The sequence below is a fragment of the Homo sapiens genome, chromosome 16 (assembly GCF_000001405.40).
Source record: "Homo sapiens chromosome 16, GRCh38.p14 Primary Assembly".
NCBI classification, from domain to species: Eukaryota; Metazoa; Chordata; class Mammalia; order Primates; family Hominidae; genus Homo; species Homo sapiens.
Window position 1 is genome coordinate 4,218,503 of NC_000016.10, and position 22,461 is coordinate 4,240,963.

Here is a 22,461-nt window from a genome sequence, read left to right on the forward strand (position 1 = left end):
AGATGGGGCAGGAGCAGTTCTGGCCTCCAATATACAGCGGCGCTTTGCTCCTCTCGCACAAGTGAAATCACAGCTGATGTCTCCATGGCTTTGAAGAGCCTCACACACAGGCCCGCTGGACCACGTGGGCCCTGCTCCTCCATCACCAGCAGCTCTGTCCCCATTAGCAGAGCAGGTGAGAGGAAATGCCACACCCAGAGTGCCAGACAACAGGGCGCACAGCCCCCAACCTGCTCAGCCGGGGAGGTGTCCTCAGCCATCTCTCCTACAACTGCCAGGAAGACCACAGAAGCCGGCGGTTCCCAAGTCTACGCAGAGTTAGTTAAGGAGGAAGGCCAGGCCTCTGGCAGAGCTAGGGCAGCAAGAATACACAAATGTCCTGCCCATGTGCCCCAGCTCATAGACCTCTCTGGAAAAACTTCTGCCTAGACACCAAAAGGCCAGATTTTTCAACCTTCTTTCCCAGAGGGTGTCACCGAATCCATGACAGATGGGCCCCACCGCCAGGTCCTGGCATTCATGGCCCCAGGTCTCATCTTATTTATCCTTATGGTTATTTTTGCATTCAAGGCTCTAGAATCAGAAAGAAACTTAGAAAGTAACTAGCCCAACTCTTTAGCCCAACTCTTTCTTTTCACAGAGGAGGAAACCAATGCCCAGAGAGGAAAAAGGAGCTTGCCAGAAGTCGCCAGTGCACTGGGACAAAGCTAGAACTAGAGACAAGGTCTCCTGACCCCGCAGCCGTAGTCTTCCCATAGGGGGCCCAGACAAATACAACTTCCCCTTCTCCCAGACGTTTCTAAGCTTTGGATGCTCACATCCTGCCCTGTCCCTGGGAGCTGGGGCCCCTGGATTGCTCATCTGTCCCCCTATTGTTCCTACAAAGGACAGCCCCTTGGTGAGTCTCAGAGGGCTGTGTCGGGGCAGCCACAGTAGTGTCAGGCTGGCGCCCTGAGCACAGCTTTTTTTTTGAGACAGTCTCGCTCTATCACCCAGGCTGGAGTGCAGTAGCGCGATATCGGCTCACTGCAACGTCCACCTCCCAGTTTCAAGCCACTGATTCTCCTGCCTCAGCCTGTTGAGTAGCTGGGACTACAGGTGCATGCCACCATGCCTAGGTAATATTTTTTATATTTTTAGTAGAGATGGGGTTTCACCATGTTGCCCAGGCTGGTCTCAAACTCCTGCACTCAAGTGATCCTCCCGCCTTGGCCTCCCAAAGTGCTGAGGTTACAGGTGTGAGCCACCACGCCTGGCCTGTATGGAGATTTTAGGAAGGACCCAGGGTGAGGGTTAGCTCCCTGCATTCAGCATTAAGTCTGTGGTATTCCTGGCGTCAGCAGAGGCATGCAGGAATGGTTGTCATCACCACCAAGAGACAAAGGACAGTTGGTTCCATGAGGGCTGTGTGAGATCAGCTCTTAGCTATCTGAGTTCAAGGTGGCAGAGGCCAAAAGAAGATGGGACCAGAAGAGCATTCCAGCGTCTGGGTCATTAGAGAAGGGAAGACCCTCCCAGCCCACCTTGCCGCTCCGTGAACAGTACAAACTCTGGATGCCTCCAGAGCAAATCTGACCATTACCCTGAATTTTCACTCCAGAGTACAGGTGTCCAGAACACCCAGCCACCCTAAGGGGAACCATCCTAGAAATCTCACGTCTAGGCCAGGTGTGGAGGCTCATGCCTATAATCCCAGTACTCTGGGAGGCCAGATCACTTGAGGCCAGGAGTTTGAGACCAGCCTGGCCAACATAGCGAAAATCTGTCTCTACTAAAACACACACACACACACACACACACACACACAAATAACCGGGTGTGGTGGCACACAGCTACTCAGGAGGCTGAGGCACGAGAATTGCTTGAACCCGGGAGGTGGAGGCTGCAGTGAGCCGAGATCACGCCATTGCACTCCAGCCTCAGTGACAGGAGACACTGTCCTAGAAAAAAAAAACACACACACATCTCATGTCTTCCCTGGGAGCAGCCTTGCTAGAGCCTCTGATTTACATCCCCAGACCCCTTAACCCCAGACACATGGGGATGCACTTTCCTGGGTGAGCTGCAGGCTCCATCCCGCCCCTCAGGCCGGGCCTCCAAGTTGCCTGGCTCCCTCTCTGGATATCCCACCCCAGGGAGAAATCATCATTCAACCCAACAGCAGCTTTCTCTGGTGAACTTTGTGTCACTGAGAGCCTGGGCTCTCTGCATCTGTCTCATCTAGTCAAACACTGAAATAACTCTGGGTGGCTGAGGCAGGGGGATCGCTTGAGCCCAGGAGTTCAAGACCAGCCTAGGCAACATAGTGGGACCCCGAATATACTTAAAAAAAAATTAGCTGGGCCTCGCGGTATGCTCCTATAGTCCCAGCTACTCAGGAGACTGAGGCAGGTGGATCGCTTGAGCCCAGGAGTTCTAGGCTGCAGTGAGCTATGATTGTGCCACTGCGCTCCAGCCTGGCAACAGAGCGAGATCCTGTCTCAAAAAAAACCCCACAAATACTGAAACCAGATGAGGCCCTCATCGCCTGGGACCATGGGCTATTCCATTATTTTTTTTTTTTCGATACGGAGTCTCACTTTGTCGCTCAGGCTGGAGTGCAGTGGCACTATCTCAGGTCACTGCAACCTCTGCCTCCTGGGTTCAAGTGATTCTCCTGCCTCAGCCTCCTGAGTAGATGGGACTACAGGTGCATGCCACCATGTCCAGCTAATTTTTTGTATTTTTAGTAGAGATGGGTTTCACCATGTTAGCCAGGATGGTCTCGATCTCCTGACCTCGTGATCTGCCTGCCTCAGCCTCCCAAAGTGCTAGGATTACAGACGTGAGCCACTGCACCTGGCCTATTCCGTTCTTTTCTTTTCCCTTGGCAGCCTCATGGCCACACAGCAGGCCAGGCTGCCTACTCCCTAGTTCCCAAAGGACTCCCCTGAAGAGAGGAAGGCTGAAGCCACAGCAGGGCTAGAGCAAGTGTACATTCCACACTCGCTGTCCCCAGGCTGACCCTCCCCGGTCAACACTGAGAGCCACATGGGGCCACCTCCAGCCCATGTCTGAGGAGCTTAGTGGGCCGGCCTGGCCAAAGGGTCCCACTCAGCCCTGGTCAAAAAAGGCCCAGATCCCTGCACTGATGCCTGAATGTGGTTTTGTATTTGTTCTATGGGGCTGCTGTGACAAAGCACTATAAACTTAGTGGTGTAAAACAATGGAAATGTGTTCACTCACAGTCCTAGAGGCCAGACGTCTCAAATCAAGGTGCCAAGAGGGCCACCTCCTCTGAAACCCACAGGAGAGACTCCTTCGTTGCCTCTCTAGCTTCTGGTGTTTGCCAGCAACTCTTGGCTTGTGGCTGCGTCACTCCAGTCTCTGCCTCCACTGACACAAGGCCTTCTCTGTGTGTCTGTGTCTTTTCTCTTCCCATAAGGACACCTTCATATTGGATTTATGGCCAGCCCCACTCCAGCATGACCTCATCTTAACTAACTACATCTGCAACCACCCTACTTCCAAATAAGGTCACATTCTGAGGTTCTGGGGTTAGGACTTCAACACATCCTTTTGGGGGATGCAATCCAACCCATAACAGGTCCCCCAATAGCCCACACCACCACCTGCCTAACCCACTGCCACTCCCTTCCCCCAGCCTGGCCCCTCGCTAATCCCAGCTCACATTTCAGATCTCAGCTTTGAGTCCCATCCCTTGGGAGTCGTCCCCGACCCCTCCTCTGGTCTGTGTCCCTGCAGCACCTGTCACCTATGTGACATCACCCTATGTGACGGCTTTTTTTAAAAACAGGGTCTCACTCTTGTAACCCAGGATAGAGTGCAGTGGCACGATCTCAGCTCACTGCAACCTCCACCTCCTGGGTTCAAGTGATTCTCCTGCCTCAGCCTCCTGAGTAGCTTGGAATACAGGTGTGCACCACCATGCTCAGCTAATATTTGTATTTTTGGTAGATACGGGGTTTTGCCATGTTGCCCAGGCTGGTCTTGAACTCCTGACTCAGGTGATCCACCCGCCTCGGCCTCCCAAAGTGCTTAGATTACAGGCATGAGCCACTGCACCCGGCTTTTTTGTTTTTTTCTTTTAACCTGTGTCCCTCCATAGATGAGCAGCTGCTAGAGGCTGGTGCCTGTGACTTGTCCCCACTGGAGGCTGCAGATATCCCCTCACCATAAGTAACCTGCTGGCTGCATTGAGAGCACCTGACAGTAAGGAGCCTTGCTCCTGGCCAGCACTTCTCAAGGTGTGGCTCGAGGGCTATCTGCAAAAGGACCACAGAGGAGCTTGATTAAAAGTACAATTCCTGGCGAGATGCGGTGGCTCACGCCTAGAATCCCAGCACTTTGGGAAGCTGAGGCAGATGGATCACCTGAGGTCAGGAGTTTGAGACCAGCCTGGCCAACATGGTGAAGCCCCGTCTCTACTAAAAACACAAAAATTAGGCTGAGTGCGGTGGCTCATGCCTGTAATCCCAGCACTTTGGGAGGCTGAGGCGGGAAGATCACTTGAGGTCAAGAGTTCCAGACTAGCCTGGCCAGCATGGTAAAACCCCATCTCTACTAAAAATACAAAAAAATTAGCCGGGCATGGTGACGGGCGCCTGTAGTCCCAGCTACTCGGGAGGCTGAGGCAGGAGAATGGCATGAACCTAGGAGGTGGAGTTTGCAGTGAGCAGAGATCATGCCACTGCACTCCAGCCTGGGCAAAAGAGCAAAACTCTGTCTCAAAAAAAAAAAAAAAAAAGCAAAAAAGCAATTCCTAACGTTTGGGGCTCGATGATTGAAAAAAAAGAAAGAAAAAGAAAAGTACCATTCCTAGGCCTATTCTCAGGCCTCCAGAACAAAGGAGTGGGCAGGAGGCCTCAGGAATCCACCTTTTTTTTATTTTAAGATACAGAATCTTGCTCTGTCACTCCAGCTGGAGTGCAGTGGTGCAATCATGGCTCACTGCAGCCTCAAACTCCAGGGCTCAAACGATCCTCCCACCTCAGCCTCCCGAGTAGTGGGACTACAGGTGCATGCCATCATATCTGGCTAGGTTTTTAAATTTTTTTTTTTTTTGTAGAGACAGGGTCTTACTCTGTTATCCAGGCTGGTGTCAAACTCCTGGGCTCAAGTGATCCTCCCACCTGGGCCTCCCATAGGGCTGAGATTACAGAAAGATGAGCCACCACATCCGGCAAGGAATCTGCCTTTTAAACAAGCTCCCAGAAGATTCTCACACACACTAACATCCGAGAACCACCATCCTTGGACCTTGATTATGGGAGCCAATCTAAGCCCATCTTCCCAGAGACCTACGGGTTGCAAAGGGTGGAGGAACCTGCTTGTGTGAGGCTGCACCAGTCCTGCCCCTGGGACCCCCTTCCTAGCTACGATCCACTTCCAGGGCCACAGGCGGCCAACAAAAGCTGATGTCCATCAGCCCTAGGCCCATCATGGGTGGGGGCATAGCTGGCCCTGCTCCCTGCCCGATAATATTCCTGGGAGGAGAAAGAAGAGAGAGGAGCAGCTGGTGGTCGGGGGCCCTCACAGCAACTACCATGGATGGAACTCTAGTAGCCAGAGCTGCCCAGGGAGCACAGTGATGGAACAGCCCTGGGACCCCGGGCATCTGGAGGAGGGAGAGGAGAGGAGGAGGGAGAGAGAGAGGAGTAGAAAGATCAGTGTTAGGAGCCCAAGTGTTCTCCCCTAATCAGCAGTGGGACCTCAAGCAAGTATTTAAACATTTCTGGGCATGTTTCATTAGTAATAAAACAGAAGAGAAAAACACCAACCCTGCCCACCCCTCAGACTTGCAGTGCCTTCACCCCACTACTATTGATGGAGTGCCTATATACTGTCACACAGTGGGAGGAATTCTGAAAGCTGGAGAGTACTAGAACGTACAAGATATTTCTAATTATAAGATAAAGTGAGGCCAGGCACGGTGGTTCATGCCTGTAATCCCAGCACTTTGGGAGGCCGAGACGGGAGGATTGCTTGAGCTCAGCAGTTCGAGACCAACCTGGGCAACAGGGTGAAACCTCAGCTCTATAAAAATTTTTAAAAATTAAAAAAATTAGTGTGATGGCTCACACCTGTGGTCCTACCTACTCAGGAGGCTGAGGCGGGAGGATGGCTTGAGCCCAGGAGACGGAGTTTGCAGTGAGCGGAGATTGCGCCACTGCACTCACTGCACTCTCGCCTGGGCAACAGAGCAAGACCCTATCTCGAGAAAAAAAAAAAGAAAAAAAAAGGATAAAGTGTCCCCAGAATGTATATCCACACAAAAAACTGTACACTGATGTTTATGAGCAGTGTGATTCACAATAGCCAAAAGGTGGAAACAGCCCGACTGTCCATCAGTAGATCAATGGATAAACAGAACATGGTCTATCCACACAATGCAATATTTCCCAGCCATGGAAAGGGGTGGAGCGCTTCCACCTGCTACAACACGGCTGAACCTGGAAGACACGGTGGTAAGTGAAAGAAGCTGGACACAAGAGACCACATCTTGTGTGATTCCATTTATACGAAAGTCCAGAATAAGCAAATCCATAGACACAGAAAGCAGATTAGTGGTTGCTGGGGGAGCAGGGAGGAATGGATGGTGGAGGAGAACTGGGGAGTGTGTGCTAAAGGGCCCAGAGCTTCTTTTTGAGGTGATAAAAAATGTTCTAAAATTGACTGTGTTGATGGCTGCATATATCTGTGAATATACTAAAAACTACTGAATTGTATGCTTTAAATGAGAAAATTAAATGACATATGAATTATATCTCAATAAACCTGTTTTCAAAAATAATAAAGAGCCGGGTGTGGTGGCTCACCCCTGTAATCCCAGCACTCGGTGAGGCTGAGGTGAGAGGATCTCTTGAGGCCAGGAGTTCAAGATCAGCCTGGGAAACATAGGGAGACCTCATCTCTACCAAAAATACAAAAAATGAGCTGGGTGTGGTGGTGTGCACCTATAGTGCCAGCTACTCAGGAGGCTGAGGTGGGAGGATCGCCTGAGCCCGGGAGTTTGAGGCTTCAGTGAGCCCTGATTGTACCAGTGCACTCCAGCCGGGGTGACAGAGTGAGACCCTGTCTCTAAAGTGGCTGATTCTTTTCTTTCTCCAAAACCTTAATTAAGTTGTTTACCTTTAAAATATACCCTCAATCCAACCATTTCTTAACACCCCTGCCCCCACCGGCTCCCTGGCCCAGCCACTGTCATCTCCCACCTGGATTGTTGATGTCACCCTTTCCCGAGCTGCCTGCTTCTGTCCCCCATCCCCTGTGTGTTTCCCACACAGCAGCAGAGCAACAGGAGACCCCCACTCCACACACTCCCTCCGGTGGCTCCCACCTCATGCAAAGAAGAGGCCAACATCCTACGGTGACCTGGAGGCCCACACCCTCTAGCCCTGCTTCACCTGTAACCCCATCTCTCCCATGTGCCCCCTCGTCCACTGTGTCCAGCCACTCTGGATTTGCTCTTCAGGGCCCCTCCTGCCCTCTGTGCTTGCTTTGCTTTTTGCTGAGAATGTTCATGCTTCCCAGACAACCGTCTGTCTGACTCACTCCTTCCTCTTCTAAGTCTGCTCCAATGTCACCAGCTCCATAAGGCCTTCCCTGGCCACCTACTGAATTATTGAATATTGTCTCCCAGTCAGTCTTCCCCATCTTCCATCCCTGGTTTTTCTCCATCGCATCTACCACCTTCTAATAATCTACATAACTTACTCAGTTTCCTGTCTGTCAGGGATTGTGTAGCCCCTGCACCTAGGGCAGCCATTGGATGGATGGGTGGATGAACGAATGGACAGCTGGATGGATGAATGAATGGAAGGATGGATGGATGAACAGACGAATGGATGGATGGGTAGATGGATGAATGGAAGGATGGATGGATGAACAGATGAATGGATGGATGGGATGGATGGATGAATGGATGGATGGGTGGATGGATGAATGGAAGGATGGAAGGAAGGATAGACGGATGAATGGGTAGGTGGGTGGGTGAGTGGAAGGATGGATGGATGGATAAATGGAGGGACAGATGGATGGACACATAGATGGAAAGATGGATGGATGGGCAGATGAATGGGTGAATGGACAGATGGATGGATAAATACATGAATAGATAAATAAATGGGTAGATGGATGGAAGGAAGGAAGGGTGAATGGAAGGATGATGGATGGTTGAATGTGTGGATGAAGGAATGGAAGGATGAATGGAAGGAAATATGGATGAACAGATGGATGGAAGGATGGAAGAATGGGTGGATGGATGAATGATAGATGAATGGGTGGATGGATGGCTGAATGGATGGATGGATGGAAGAATGGACGGATGGATGGATGGATGGAGGGGTAGATGGATGAATGGAAGGATGGATAGGAAGAAGATGAATGGAAGGATGGATGAATGGATGAATGGATGGATGGAAGGATGAATGGATGGGTGGATGGATGAGTAGATGCATGGACGGGTGGATGAATAGGTGTGTGGGTGGATGAGTGGGTGGATGGATGGATGAATAGATGGAAGAATGGACTGATGGATGGATGGATGAATGGATGGATGGATGGATGGATGATGGATGGATGAACAGATGGATGGATGGATAAATGGGTGGATTGATGAATGGAAGGATGGATGAAAGCAAGGATGGATGGTGGATGAATGGAAGGGTGGATAGATGAATGGACAGACGGACAGATAGATGGGTGGATGGGTGGATGAGTGGATGGGTGGGTGGATGGATGGATGAAGGGATGGGTGGATGGATGGATGGGTAGGTGGACAGATAAATGGATGGATGACGGATGGATGGGTGGATGCATGGATAGATGGGTGGATGGACAGACAGATGGGTGAATGGCTGGGTGGAAGGATGGGTGGATGGATAGATGAATGGAGAGATTGATGGATGGGTAGACTGATGGATGGAAGGATGGATGTGTGGGTGCGTGGATAAGTGAATGGATGATGGGTGGATGAATGGATAGATGAGTGGATGGGATGAATGGGTGGGTAGATGAGTAGATGGATGATGGGTAGATGATGGATGGGTGGATGGATGGATTGGTGGACAGATGGGTGAATGGAAGGATGGATGAATGGATGGATCGATGGTGGTGGTGGCAAAATGGAAGACCTTCCGTCAACCCCACTTGCGTTCCAAGAGACAGGAGAGGACCCAGATTCAGAACCAGGGAAGTGCTTGCCTAAGAGTAGGCTGTGTCCTCAGGCCATGTCACCTAACCTGTCCAGGCCCGCTTCTCATTATTAAAAGGCCCCAGAGGAGCTGCTTTCCACACCTTTCATCATGTGACAGCTACATGAACTGAACTGCTGAGTTGCAGGGCCTCCTCTTAAAGACCTTAAGATCTTATTGGAGGGAAAGGCAAGCAGGCAGAAAGATGGAACTAACTTCAGGGCAGCTCCTGAGCAGGAATGTGAACCCAAAGGGCTGAGCGAAGGAGCCCATGAGGAAGTGAAGTCATTTGGGGTGGGACACTGCAGGAGCCCAGCCAGGTGTGTGGGGACAGTGGCTGTGGTTAGGACAGTGGGACACAGCCAAAGGAGAGCCTGGGATGCTGGTCTAAGGAGGGCAGCCTGGGATTCCTGGACCGGGCCTCCCTGACCATTGGTGGCCACTTCTGAAAAGGCCTGAAGGCCGGGAGCAGTGGCTCACGCCTGTAATCCCAGCACTTTGGAAGACTGAGGCAGGTGGATCACGAGGTCAGGAGTTCAAGATCAGCCTGGCCAAGATGGTGAAACCCCCTCTCTACTAAAAATACAAAAATTAGCTGGATATGGCGGCGCATGCCTGTAATCCCAGCTACTCGGGAGGCTGAGGCAGAGAACTGCTTGAACCCGGGAGGTGGAGGTTGCAGTGAGCCGAGATTGCACCACTGCACTCCAACCCGGGCGACAGAGCGAGACTCCACCTTGAAACAAACAAACAAAAAGGCTGGACGCAGTGGCTCACACCTACAATCCCAGCACTTTGGGAGGCCGAGGCGGGCGGATCACTAGGTCAGGAGATCGAGACCATCCTGGCTAACACGGTGAAACCCCGTCTCTACTAAAAATACAAAAAATTAGTCAGGCGTGGTGGCGGGCACCTGTAGTCCCAGCTACTCGGGAGGTTGAGGCAGGAGAATGGAGTGAACCCAGGAGGCGGAGCTTGCAGTGAGCCAAGATCATGCCACTGCACTCCAGCCTGGGTGACAGAGCAAGACTCCGTCTCAAAAAAAAAAGAAAAAAAGAAAGAAAAAGTGAAAAAGAAAAGGCCTGAAGACCCCGGGGCTGGGGAAAGGTGGGGACCAGTCTCCTCACTCTTGTTCCCCTCCAGAACTGGACTGAGCCACAGCCACAAGCTTCAAGGGCTGCCCAAACACCCCAGACTCTGGGTTTGGGACCCCTACCACCCACAGCGAGAAGACACAGCCTTCTAGTGGGGGACCCCTCCTTCTAGAGAGGGAGAGGTCATGAGAAAGTGAACTTCTCAGCAACATTCAAGAAGGTTCCACACACACACTTATGTGTTCACTGCAGCGTTACTCACAACAGCAAAGACACAGAATCAACCCAGATGCCCACCAACGGTGGCCTGAATCAAGAAGATGTGGTACATCTACACCATGGAATACCAACCAGCCATTAAAAAAAATCATGGCTGGGCGCAGTGGCTCGCAACTGTAATCCCAGCACTTTGGGAAGCCGAGGCGGGTGGATCACAAGGACAGGAGATCGAGACCATCCTGGCTAACACAGTGAAACCCCATCTCTACTGAAAATACAAAAAAATTAGCCAAGCGTGGTGGTGGGGACCTGTAGTCCCAGCTACTTGGGAGGCTGAGGCAGGAGAATGGCGTGAACATGAACCCAGGAGGCGGAGCTTGCAGTGAGCCAAGATCACGCCACTGCACTCCAGCCTGGGCGACAGAGCAAGACACCGTCTCAAAAAAAAACAAAAAACATGTTGTTTGCAGAAACATGGATGCAGCTGGAGGTCATTATCCCAAGCGAATTAAGGCAGAAACAAAAAACCAGAGACTGCATATTCTCACTTATAAGTGGGAGCTAAGCATTGGAGACACATGGACATAAAGAGGGGAACAATAGACACTGTGGACTACTAGATGGGGGAGTGAGAAAGAGGACAAGTGTTGACAAACTACCTATTGGGTACTATGTTCACTATCTGGCTGATAAGATCAACAAAAGCCCAAACCTCAGCATCATGCACTACATCCATGTAAAAAACCTGCACACGTCCCCCCTGAATCTAAAATAAAGTTCACTCAGAAGTTCTTCCTCTGAGGAGCTTCTGCAGATGAGGAGGTGCTTCCACATCCTGCACCATCTCCTGCTTGGCTGCTGTGCCCAAGGCCAAGACTTTGAGGGGACTGCGTGCTGGGGCCTCGTGCAGAAGAAGAGCTGGGCCTCAGGTCACAGAGTAAGCTGGTCCTGGGCTTCCAGCTTCTTGCTCCCTTACTCTTTTCATCACACAGGCAGCCAGGACCCAGACCTCCATCCCTTTCCCCTCTCTACCTCACCCTGCGTCAGAGACACACCCCCTAGGAACTGGGCAATTCTGGTCAATTCTCCCCACCCGGGCAGCCACCCTCCTACCTACCACCACTACTAGGCCGGGCTACCTCCTGAGATTCTCTGCCTGAGCCAGTCCTCCATCTGTTCATTCAACACACTTGCCCGGGTGTGTCTGCAGAGCTCCAGATCAGCCAGGGGGGGCAACCCATGAGCTGTGGAACAAAGTGGACCAAGGAAACAGGTACCCCCTCCACCCAGTGGAAGACCATCCCCTAGGAGAAAGCCCCCCAAAATTAGTGTATCTCTAAAATTCATATCCACCTAGAACCTCAGAATGTGATTTTTTTTTTTTTTTTTGAGACAGAGTCTTGCCCTGTCGCCCAGGCTGGAGTATGGTGGTGCGATCTCGGCTCACTGCAACCTCCACCTCCCGGGTTCAAGCGATTCTCCTGCCTCAGCCCCCCAAGTAGCTGGGATTACAGGCGGGCACCACTATGACTGGCTAATTTTTTTTTTTTTGTATCTTTAGTAGAGACGGGGTTTCACCATGTTGGCCAGGCTGGTCTTGAACTCCCGACCTCGTGATCCGCACCCCCTTGGCCTCCCAAAGTGCTGGGATTACAGGTGTGAGCCACCACACCCAGGAAGAATGTGACCTTCTATGGAAACAGGGTCTTTGCAAATGTAATTAGTTAAGATGAGATCATACTGGATTAGGTGGGCCCTAAACCCAACATCTTCAATGTCCTTAGGTGATGAGGAGAGGACACAGGGACACACAGACAAGGGAGAAGGCCACATGATGACAGAGGCAGAGAGTGCAGTGATGAAGCTACCACTCAAAGAATGCCAGGAATTGCTGGCAACCACTGGATGCTGGAAGAGGCAAGGAAGGATCCCCCTTAGACCTTTCAAAGGGAATGTGGCCCTGCCAACACCTTGATTTCAGACTTTTGGGCTCCAGAATTGTCAGAGAATAAATTTCTGTGGTTTTGGCCAGGCACTGTGGCTCACACCTGTAATCCCAGCACTTTGGGAGGCCAAGGTAGGATCACTTGAGCCCAGAAGCTCAAGACCAGCCCAGGCAACATGGCGAGAGCCCTGTCTCTACAAAAAATACAAAAATTAGCTGAGCATGGTGGTGCATGCCTATAGTCTCAGCTACTTGGGAGGCTGTGGTGGGAGGATCACTTGAGCCCGGGAGGCAGAGATTGCAGTGAGCAGAGATTGCACCACTGCACTCCAGCCTGGGCAACAGAGTGAGACCCTGTCTCAAAAAAAACAATTGCTGTGGCTTTAAGCTACTGACTTTGTGGCAAGTTGTTACCGTGGTCCCAGGAAGATCAAATAGGAACCAACACCTAAGCCTGGCGCTGTGAGAGCTTCCTGACACCATTTAACACTGAGCCAATCGTTTTCACCATCCCCATGGCCGCAGACCCTGTCGTCACCATCCTGGGGCCCACATGCTCTGAAACCCAGCTCGAGCCCCCCTTCCAGGAAGCATGCCCCGACAACCGCTCCCCCTTTCTCTGCACTCTCAGGCTGCTTATTTTTAGCTGCTGATTACGTCTACCTTATATGGTTCTCTATTCATGTCATGAGCAGGGGCTGTCTCCCCTCCTAGTCTGTAAGCTCTTTGAGGACAGAGAATCCCAAGGATATTAACAGTCCTGAGCAGGGGAGGCGTGTTGATGGATTCCCCTGGTTGGTCAAGTTTCATGATATTTCAGGAAACTGGAGGCAAATATCAAGTTGCCGCATACTCACAAGAGTGATAACCTGTCATTCTTGTCATAGTCCTTTTAAGCTTAGAAAGTATCTATTATCAAAAAATATTTTAAGCATCCGATAGCCATTTTCTTATTATAGTCACGAAACAGCCCCATGCTGGAAATAGAGCAAGTATCATTATCCCCATTTTATGGGTGAAGAAACAAACGCAGAGATAGTCAGGGACTTGGCGGCTGATTTGTGACAAAACCAGCATTTGCTCTGCCCCCGGGTTCCGGTGCTCCCGCTGGGCCCCACCCCAGGCCAGCCGCTCTGCCTCTGTGTAGACAGCGCCAAGCAAGGAGGGACTTGGTGGAGTGCTCACCAGCTTAACTACCAATTCGGAAAGGAAACAAAGGCAGGAAAGGAGGTGGGCTGGTGTCTTGGGAGCCCGAGGCCAGGATGGTCTCCCCAGGACAGGGTGAGTACTTGACACTTCTCCAGTTCTTTTCCAGATTCTTCCCAAGTCCTAGAGAGCACTCCCGGTCTCTTGATCTCCTTGGGTAAGTGCAAGAAAAATAAGTAATCATCTACTACTTGACACTAAGTAATCAACAAATTGGCTAGAGGCCTCTCTGGTGGACACAGGGACACAGGTGGTCACATCAGGCCCTAAATGCTGTGTAAGTTGGAGGCCCATCAGTGGCATGGCTTCCAAAGGAATGGCTTGGTCAAGCCTTTACCTATTGCCATCTAGACGAATTTTTTTTTTTTTCAACAGAGTCTTGCTCTGGCACCCAGACTGGAGTGCACTGGCACAATTACAGTTCACCGCAGCCATGACCTCCCGGGCTCAAGAGATCCACCTGCTCCAGCCTCCCAAGCAGCTGGGACCACACGCATAGGCCATTATGCCTGGCTAATTGTTGTATTTTTTTGTAGAGATGGGGTTTCTCCATGTTGCCCAAGGTACTCTTGAACTCCTGCGGTCAAGGGATCTACCCGCTTCAACCTCCCAAAGTGCTGGGATTGCAGGCAAGAGCCACCGTGCCCAGCCTAGGGGAAATTCTATGGGAGAAAACTGAGCTGGCCTAGGTCCTAGCCAAATGACTACCTGAAGGAGGACCGGGGGCTGCAGTTTTGGCAGCAATCCAGTGGTGGGGGGAGGCGGGGGCTCCCAAACCCCGGGACTCTCCCCTGAGCTCCCAGCACAAGCCACTTCCTACAAGCCCAGAACTCCAGGCCAGACTTTGTCTGCACCTGTTTGAGCTCAGAGTACAGTCCCTGCTCTAGAAGCATCCAAAAATATCTGAGAGAGCGGGGAATAGGGAGGGGCTATCTGGAAGAAAACAGGCTAGAGTCTTCAGAGGGCTGAGAGAAAGAGCCACTTGGCTCAGCATTCAAGGTTCTTCCCAACTGGCCCCAACTCATCAGGGTGGCCTAATCTCCCCCGAACACGAGCCCCACACTCTAGCCAGAGCTAGTCTCATCCTGTCCCTGGCAGTGCCGTGCTCTGAGCTTCCTCACCTCCTGGCTTTTGTCACCATCTTCAGGTGTCTCTGCCTGCACAAATCATCTGTCATTCATTAGACCTTGTTGACTGCCTTGAATGAGCCAAGCGTCATGCTACACTGTTCGTGATGAAATACGGGCAAATTAAACAAAGGCACAGCTTCCACCCTCCCCAAGCTGACCGTCCAGCAATTGTCCCCTCCCTGCACGTTGGGCTGAAACCCTGTCCCTCTGCACAGCCAACCTTCCCAACCATCTTCTGAACTTCAACCAGAGTGAGCATAGACTGCTGGTGGGGGGGTGTTAGTTACATTTTTTTTTCAGTGCGTGTCATCTCCCCAAATAGAAGGTCAGCTCCTGAGGGCAGAGACACAACTCATTCCCGCCTGCACAGTGCAGCTGGCCAGGACCTCACAGGGCTGACAAGGGGCTGAGAGATGGGCCTCACAGGGAGGGACCCACAGCTGCCTTACACCTCTCCCTGCTCTCATCAAATGCCCCACTCTCTCTGCTCCCTGCAGTCTCTGAGGCATCTGAGTCTGAGATTGTGCCATACCCTCATGCTTCTATTTGATCCTTTTGTGCCTTCATCCCTAACCCGAGTCCATCCTGCTTTTCCAGCCTAAAGGGGGACTCCCTTTAGGGAGCATCTCTCATTTCTTCAGGATTTGGCACCCAATCTCTCCTCTCCTGCCAGGGCTGGCCATGGCCTGCATTCATTCTGTGTTCTCTCTCTCTTTTTTTTAAATATGGGGTCTCGCTCTGTTGCCCAGGCTAGAGTATAGTGGTACAATCTTGGCTCACTGCAACTTCGACCTCCTAGGCTCAAGCCATCCTTCCACCTCAGCCCCCTGAGTAGCTGAGACCACAGTGTACCCACTACATCCAGCTATTTTTAAAGTTTTTTTGTAGAGACAAGATCTCACTGTGTTGCCCAGGCTGGTCTGGAACTCCTGGGCTCAAGCAATCCTGCCGCCTTAGCCTCCCAAAGTGCCGGGATTACAGGTGTGAGCCACTGTGCCTAGCCTATTAATTAAATTTAATAAATTATTGCTTTAATTCTGATTTAATTTGGTGCTTTCATTCTGATTCTGCCACCTTCCCTGAGATGGGGTGGCTCAGCAATTGCTGCTCTGGGAGTCCCTCTGTGACAGACAATGAGGAAGTCACAGGCAACAGGCATGTCCCCAAGGTAGGGGGGCAGCTGGGACCTTGACTCCGAGTAAAACCACCTTCAGGGCTGCAGAGGGATGAGGGAGGCTGAAAATAGATGGAACAGGACTTCTCTGATATTAGAGAAGGATGACAGCACAGGCTGCCGCCATCGAGGAAATGAATCAGTCTCTAGAAACTCAGTTAAATCCGTCCCATTTGCTAAACTGCACCCACCCCTGTCACGTCCTACTGAGGATACCCAGCTAGGGATGAGCACAGGGGACTGGGACCTCTCGAGCACTGGGCAGATCATGCTTAGCAGCCGTGCTCGCCATGGCTCCAATTCATTCATTCATTATTTCACCCATTCAGGACCCAGAAGAGAAACCCCTGCTATGTAGCTCAGTCCCTCTGCGCTCAGAACCGGTGAACTATTTACCACCTCCGTGTTGAGATTTAGGAACTTTGGGTGAGACCTTGCCTGCCAAATGGGAAATTCCATCTTAGAGATATCTTCCTTGAGCTGAAATCTTCTGAATCCTCTGAAACACAGACAGACTTGAGCAAAGTGCCCATCTGTGCTGCGAGTCACCAGCCTCCACTGCAATGAGCTGCAGCTCCCCCCATGACCAGTGTCTTGGTAGCAGGGACAGGGGTCGGAGCAGGGGCCCAGCCTGAGTAGGGAAGGGAGACCCAAGAGGGAATGAAGGAGCCAAATAGGGCGGAGGCAGACTCTGAAGATCAACTTTTAGCTCTAAGAAGACAGGTGAGGCCAGGGGCGAGGTCCCTGAGAAGACAGGACTCCCAGAGCAAACTCGGGAGAGAACAGAAGCCAGCCCACCACCTTGAGCCAAAGTGAGTCCTCATGCCAAAGTGAGTCCCACCAATGGGACACGAGAGGGCACAGGCCTCACAGCCAGGAACACATCATGAAGGGGACCTGAGGCTGGACTCCCATCCCCAGTCCACAAAGAAGAATGAAAACCAAAGTCAGCTGCGTGCAGTGGCTCACACTTGTAGCCCCATCACTTTGGGAGACCAAGGCAGGAGAATCACTTGAGCCCAGGAGTTTGAGACCAGCCTGAGCAACATAGTGACATAGTGAGACCATGTATCTACAAAAAATAAAATTAGCTGGGTGTGGTGACACATGCCTGTAGTCCCAGCTACTCTGAAGGCTGAAATGGGAAGATCACTTGAACCCAGGAAGTTGAGGCTGCAGTGAGCTATGATTGCACCACTGCACTCCAGTCTGGGAGACTAAGTGAGACCTTATCTCAAAAAAATAAATAAAAATTAAAAAAAGAGAGAGGACTACAGTCATCATCTGAGTAACTCAGGCCACATATCCACCGCGCCAATTTCCACTTAAAAAAGCTAGCCCTGGGCCGGGCACGGTGGCTCACGCCTGTAATCCCAGCACTTGGGAGGCCGAGGTGAGCGGATCTCGAGGTCAGGAGATCGAAACCAGCCTGACCAACATGGAGAAACTCCGCCTCTACTAAAAATGCAAAATTAGCCGGGCATAGTGTAGTCCTGGCTACTCGGGAGGCTGAGGTGGGAGGATTGCTTGAGCCCAGGAGGTGGAGACTGCAGTGAGCCTTGATCAACCACTGCACTCCAGCCTGCGCAACAGAGTGAGTCCCTGTCTAAAAAAATAAATAAAAAGAAAACGTAAAGAAAAATATTTTCTCTACCTCAGTAAACCCATCTGCTTTTAAGTTACTGTTGCTGGCCTTTATTTATCCCAAACTTAATTTTTAAAGGTTTCTATGTCTAAAGATGTTGCCTCCTCATCCTCACTAAATACCCTCAAACCCTCCTCATTGGTCAGTGACCTCCTGGTTGTCAGAAGGAACAGCTCCTCTCCCTCAGCATCTCTGTGATATTTAATCCTGCTGGCCACTCGCCCTTCTTCTAGAAGACCTGGGCTTGCAGGTCACTGTCTCTTCTTGGGTCCCTTCCTATCTTTCTGAAATTCATTTATCTTCTTCCTCTTCCTACTCCTCAAACTTAGCGTTGATCAAGGACTGGTCCTTGAATCTTTGTCTCTCCCTGGTACAGCTCCATGGGTGACCTCAGAGCCTCCCTCTCATCTTTACGTAAATGAATCTCACTCCTAAATGCCCTGACCTGACTTCCCTCCTAAGCTCCAGTCCTGCCTAACCCCTGCCACCTCCTTCCAGATGCCCCACGAGTAACCAATCTTCATAATGACCCAAACTGAACTTTTTTTTTTTGAGACAGAGTCTTGCTCTGGTGCCCAGACTGGAGTGCAGTGGCATGATCTCAGCTCACTGCAACCTCTGCCTCCCGGGTACAAGCAATTCTCCTGCCTCAGCCTCCCGAGTAGCTGGGATTACAGGCGCATGCCACTACGCCCGGCTAATTTTTTGTATTTTTAGTAGAGATGGGGTTTCACCCTATTAGTCAGGCTGGTCTCGAACTCCTGACCTCGTGATCTGCCCTCAGCCTCCCAAAGTGCTGGAATTACAGGTGTAAGCCACTGCACCCAGCCGTGAACTTTTTTTTTTTTTTGAGACAAGGTCTCACTCAGTTGCCGAGGTTGGGGTACAATAGTGCCATCACAGCTCACTGCAGCCTCAGCCTACCAAGCTCAAGCGATCCTCCTGCCTCAACCTCCCAAGTAGCTGGGACTACAGGTACCCGCCATCATGCCCAGTTCATTTTTTCTATTTTTTGTTTTATTTTCTATGTTGTCCAGGCTGGTCTCAAACTCCTAGGCTCAGGCCATCCTCCTGCCTCTGCCTCCGCCTCCCAAAGTGCTGGGATTACAGGTGTGAGCCACTTCATCCAAGCCCAAACTGGACTCAAAATCTGTTCCTCTCTCTTATGTTCCCAGTCTATTTTTCTGGCAAGATCATTCTCCCAGTGACCTCAATGGAACCTGTAAGGGCCCCCTCCCCTGGCCTGGCTCCCAAGCTGGGAAGGCCAGGGATTCTACACCAGCTGTCAGCTGGGTCCACCCCTTCTCTCCACTCCCAACCCCTCGCCCAGGTCCACACTCCCTCACCTACCTCTCTGGCATGGCTGACTAATCAGTCTCCCCCTCCCTACTCTTCCTACAAACAACTGCCAGACGGATCTTCCCTGAGCCCTTGGTAGTGACCCGCTGCCCACAGAGCAAAGCCCTGCTTAGCCTAACAAGGCCCTTCACACTTCAGCCCCACCCCTGCCTTCCGAACACGTCCCGCCACCCCACTTCCATCTGCCCGCCTTCATGCAAGACAGAACAATGCTCCCCTTCCCTGGGTCTCACCAGAGCCCCGTTGCTCTGGCACCGTGAGTTTGCTCATCTTGTTCCCTCAACTCAGAATTCCCTTCCTGCCATCTTTCTGTTCTGAATCCTGCTTTCTTCAAGGCCCAGCTCAAATATTCCCTCATCCGTAAAACCTTTTCTGATCCGATCCACTCAGCTCAGGATGGTCTCCTCCCTGCCTTCAGCCCCACCTTGCTTTTCCTGTGCCTCCCCAGTGACACTGATGTGTGTCCCATTTGACTAGATTCAGCTACGTGCAAGGGAGAAGACGCCTCCTCTCCCCTACTGGACTATAAGCACTGAGGACAAAATGCCTGTCTCAATTCCCCTAGTACCATACTTCAAAAACAGCAGGGATGCAGCAAACGAGGGATGGGTTCACGAATGATGGAACACGTTGAGGTGTTTGAATGACAGGGTTGCACATACGAGCGATGTTTACAGGTAAGGACTTATGCTGCGATGAGGCCTGGATTTGGGTTTGGAGCAGGGCATGTGCCCAGGAGAGAGAGCTAAGTAAGCCCAGGCGCTCCATCCCACAGCCATGGCCCTCCCTGCTCCCCACTCCCCCAGCCACCTGCCTCATTCCAGCCAGGATGCACAGGGCCTAGCTCTGTCCTTAGCCTGCAGGCCAGGTCAGAGAACGGAAACAGCTGTCCCCCTCCTGAGTCCATAGGCTGACTCTCCCCAGCCCACTACACCCAAGCAGGCATCAAACGGCCAGCTAGATGCTACCGGCCTCATCTGGACCTCCCTCTGGGGGATAAGCGGGTAAAAGCACTGGCCAAGGAGTGGAAAGGACTGAATTCCAGCTCTGGCCTGCCATGAACTCACTGTTTGACCTTCACTGTAATACCTGGATGTAGGAAAAAACCAGCAGTTCCTAAACAGCAGTTCCACAGGCCACCATGCCCGGTGCCACTTTTTTTTTTTTTTTCCTTGAGACAAGGTCTCGCTCTGTCACCCAGGCTGGAGTCAGTGATGCAATCACAACTCACTGCAGCCTGACCACCCAGGTTCATGTGATCCTCCCCCCTCGGCCTCTCAAGTAGCTGGGACCACAGGCATGCACCCCTACACCGAGCTATTTTTTTTTTTTTTTAGAGACAGGGTCTCACTATGTTGTCCAGACTGGTCTCAAATTCTTAGCTTCAAGCGATCCTCCCACCTTGGGTTCCCAAAGCGCTGGGATTACAGGTGTGAGCCACTGTGTCCGACCACCGTGTTACCTTCTTGAGGGATGTGTTCATTAGCAAGACCCAGTCTAGTGCATTCCAGGCTCACTGTGGGACCAGATGTCCCCTACAGGCTTGCCCGGCTGCACCAAATGAGGAGTCAGGGAACCAGCTGTGGGGAAAAGGCTTCTGGGGTCTGTTCTCTCCCCAAGACCCCTGAGCTTGCTACATTTTCTCAGCAGCCCTGCCACAGCTAGGCTGCCCTGATGAGGAAACTGGAGTGCTGGCCTCTTTCCAGAAATAACCAGCCAGGGGTGGGAGAGAAAGGGGCGGGGAAACAGCTTCCTGACCGTCACTGCACCCTTGTCTCACATGGCGGGCACTGAGCTGTGGGCACTCACAGAGGGGCAGCCCCAGCATGCACCAGCCCCTTGCCATTGGGGTGGCCGGGTGGGGCCAGGGCAGATGGGCAAGTCTGAAGCTAGGGCTGGAGGTGGAGGAAGGATGAGATGGACAGGAATCCCCAGATCCCCAATCTCCGTATCAAGCAACAAGAGGGACAACAGGAAGCAAAGAGGTCCCAAATTCTGCCTTTAGCAGTAAACACCAATGGCTTAAACCCGAAGAAATGAAATGCTTTCTCAGCAGACTTCGCTCTCCAGGGAAACCAAAAGCATAGCTCTTCGCCCTGCAAACTAGGGAAACTCCCCCAGGACGGTCTTATCCACTGCACCCTTTCTCCTCCTTTCACACTCACCGTACAGGGAGAGAGGGGCTTGGGAGTGCAGGCAGGGTCTGTCACAGAGAGACGGGCTGAGGAAAGGAGAGGACCCTGGCCCGGGTGTGCCTGTCACTGACGCGCTGTCTGACCTCGGAAAAGTTTTCCTGTTTCTCTGGGTTTCCTTCCCTTCCCTGGATGGTGGGGAGACCGATCAAATCATTGCTAGGGGCGTTTCCCACTGCTTTAAGGAGGAACAGCCCCAAGCCAGGACTCCCAAAGAGGAGGGCCCAGTGGGTGGTACAAAGGCCTGAGTGCAGCAGCAGGTCGGGAGGTGGAAACCGGGTAAGGCCCCACCTGGCTGCTCCTTCCCCGTCCTGGCATGGGCACGGGCGACGGGTGGTTGGTAACAGAGGGGCGCTTGTCTCCTCACAGGGAGGCGAGAAGGAGGGCTGCAGAGCCCACCACCCCAGCCAGAGCTGCACACGAGCAACAAGGAGGAGAAGCCGGAGGAGAAGCTCTGTGGGGTCCCTGGCCTAGGAAGCAGATGGGAGTGGTGAGCGAGAATATCTGCCGCCACCCAGCCAAGGAGCAAGCATGATAGGGAGGGAAGTTAGCACACAGCGGAGAGATGAGGGAAAGAGGTCAGGAGCCAAGATGTGACCTTTGGGTGGGGTGGTATTTACCGGGGTGGCACAATTCTGAAGGGGAAATCACCCAGTAGGAAGGACTGTCATGATGGGGGCGTGAGGAAGCCACCTTGTGGGTTAGAACCTGCCGGTGGATGCAGGAGGAGGCCTATTCTGGGGTATACAGTCCACAGTGGGGCAGAGTCCTGATAAAATCCACCACAGTGGATGAAACCCACAGCCCAAGTGCTGAGCAGGAGCAGGGACAGAGGGAAGCTTTACGCCGGAGGTTGGGCCAGGGGCAGACGCACGCTGTGGGACCCAGGAAGGAAAGACAGCAGAGAGAAGGGACCTTTGCACAAGCACCTGCCTGCGTCCTTTCCCCACGACAAGAGCCCCCAGCGAGGCCTGCAGAACATTCCAGATGACCAGTTCCCTCGGTGGGAGGAAAGATAAAGGATGTCCCTAAAAGGCCAAAAATTCCTGGGGCCCAGTGTGTAGCAGCCCAGCAGCTGGGGCTGGGGGGCAGCACAGGAGCGGCCACGAAGGGAGAGGGTGGCAGCGGCTTGGGGCTCCGGATCCAATTACGCGGCTGTTTCCATACTTAGCCGCCTGACAGCCGCCTGGAATACTCAGCACTCAAGCCGCTGCAGCCCTGCAGAGCCCAAATTAACTCAAGGACAGACAAGGGCAGGGCCCAGCAGCACATGCAGTGGCTGGAGCCCCCCACCTTACATCTT

The 22,461-nt window shown here is 52.2% G+C and overlaps 1 protein-coding gene across 6 annotated transcripts in view; it reads right to left on the bottom strand.

Moving 5' to 3' along the window:
• Positions 1 to 22,461, bottom strand: part of SRL (sarcalumenin) — a 52,707-nt gene that overhangs the window by 29,129 nt on the left and 1,117 nt on the right. The window contains exon 1 of one of the 6 annotated variants that reach the window (XM_017023528.1): positions 21,132 to 21,236. The exons of the other annotated variants lie outside the window; for them this stretch is intronic. The gene's annotated coding sequence lies outside the window, so the exon portion shown is untranslated. Of the gene's footprint in view, positions 1 to 21,131; positions 21,237 to 22,461 lie in introns of those variants that run through there. 6 annotated transcript variants of the gene reach the window in all.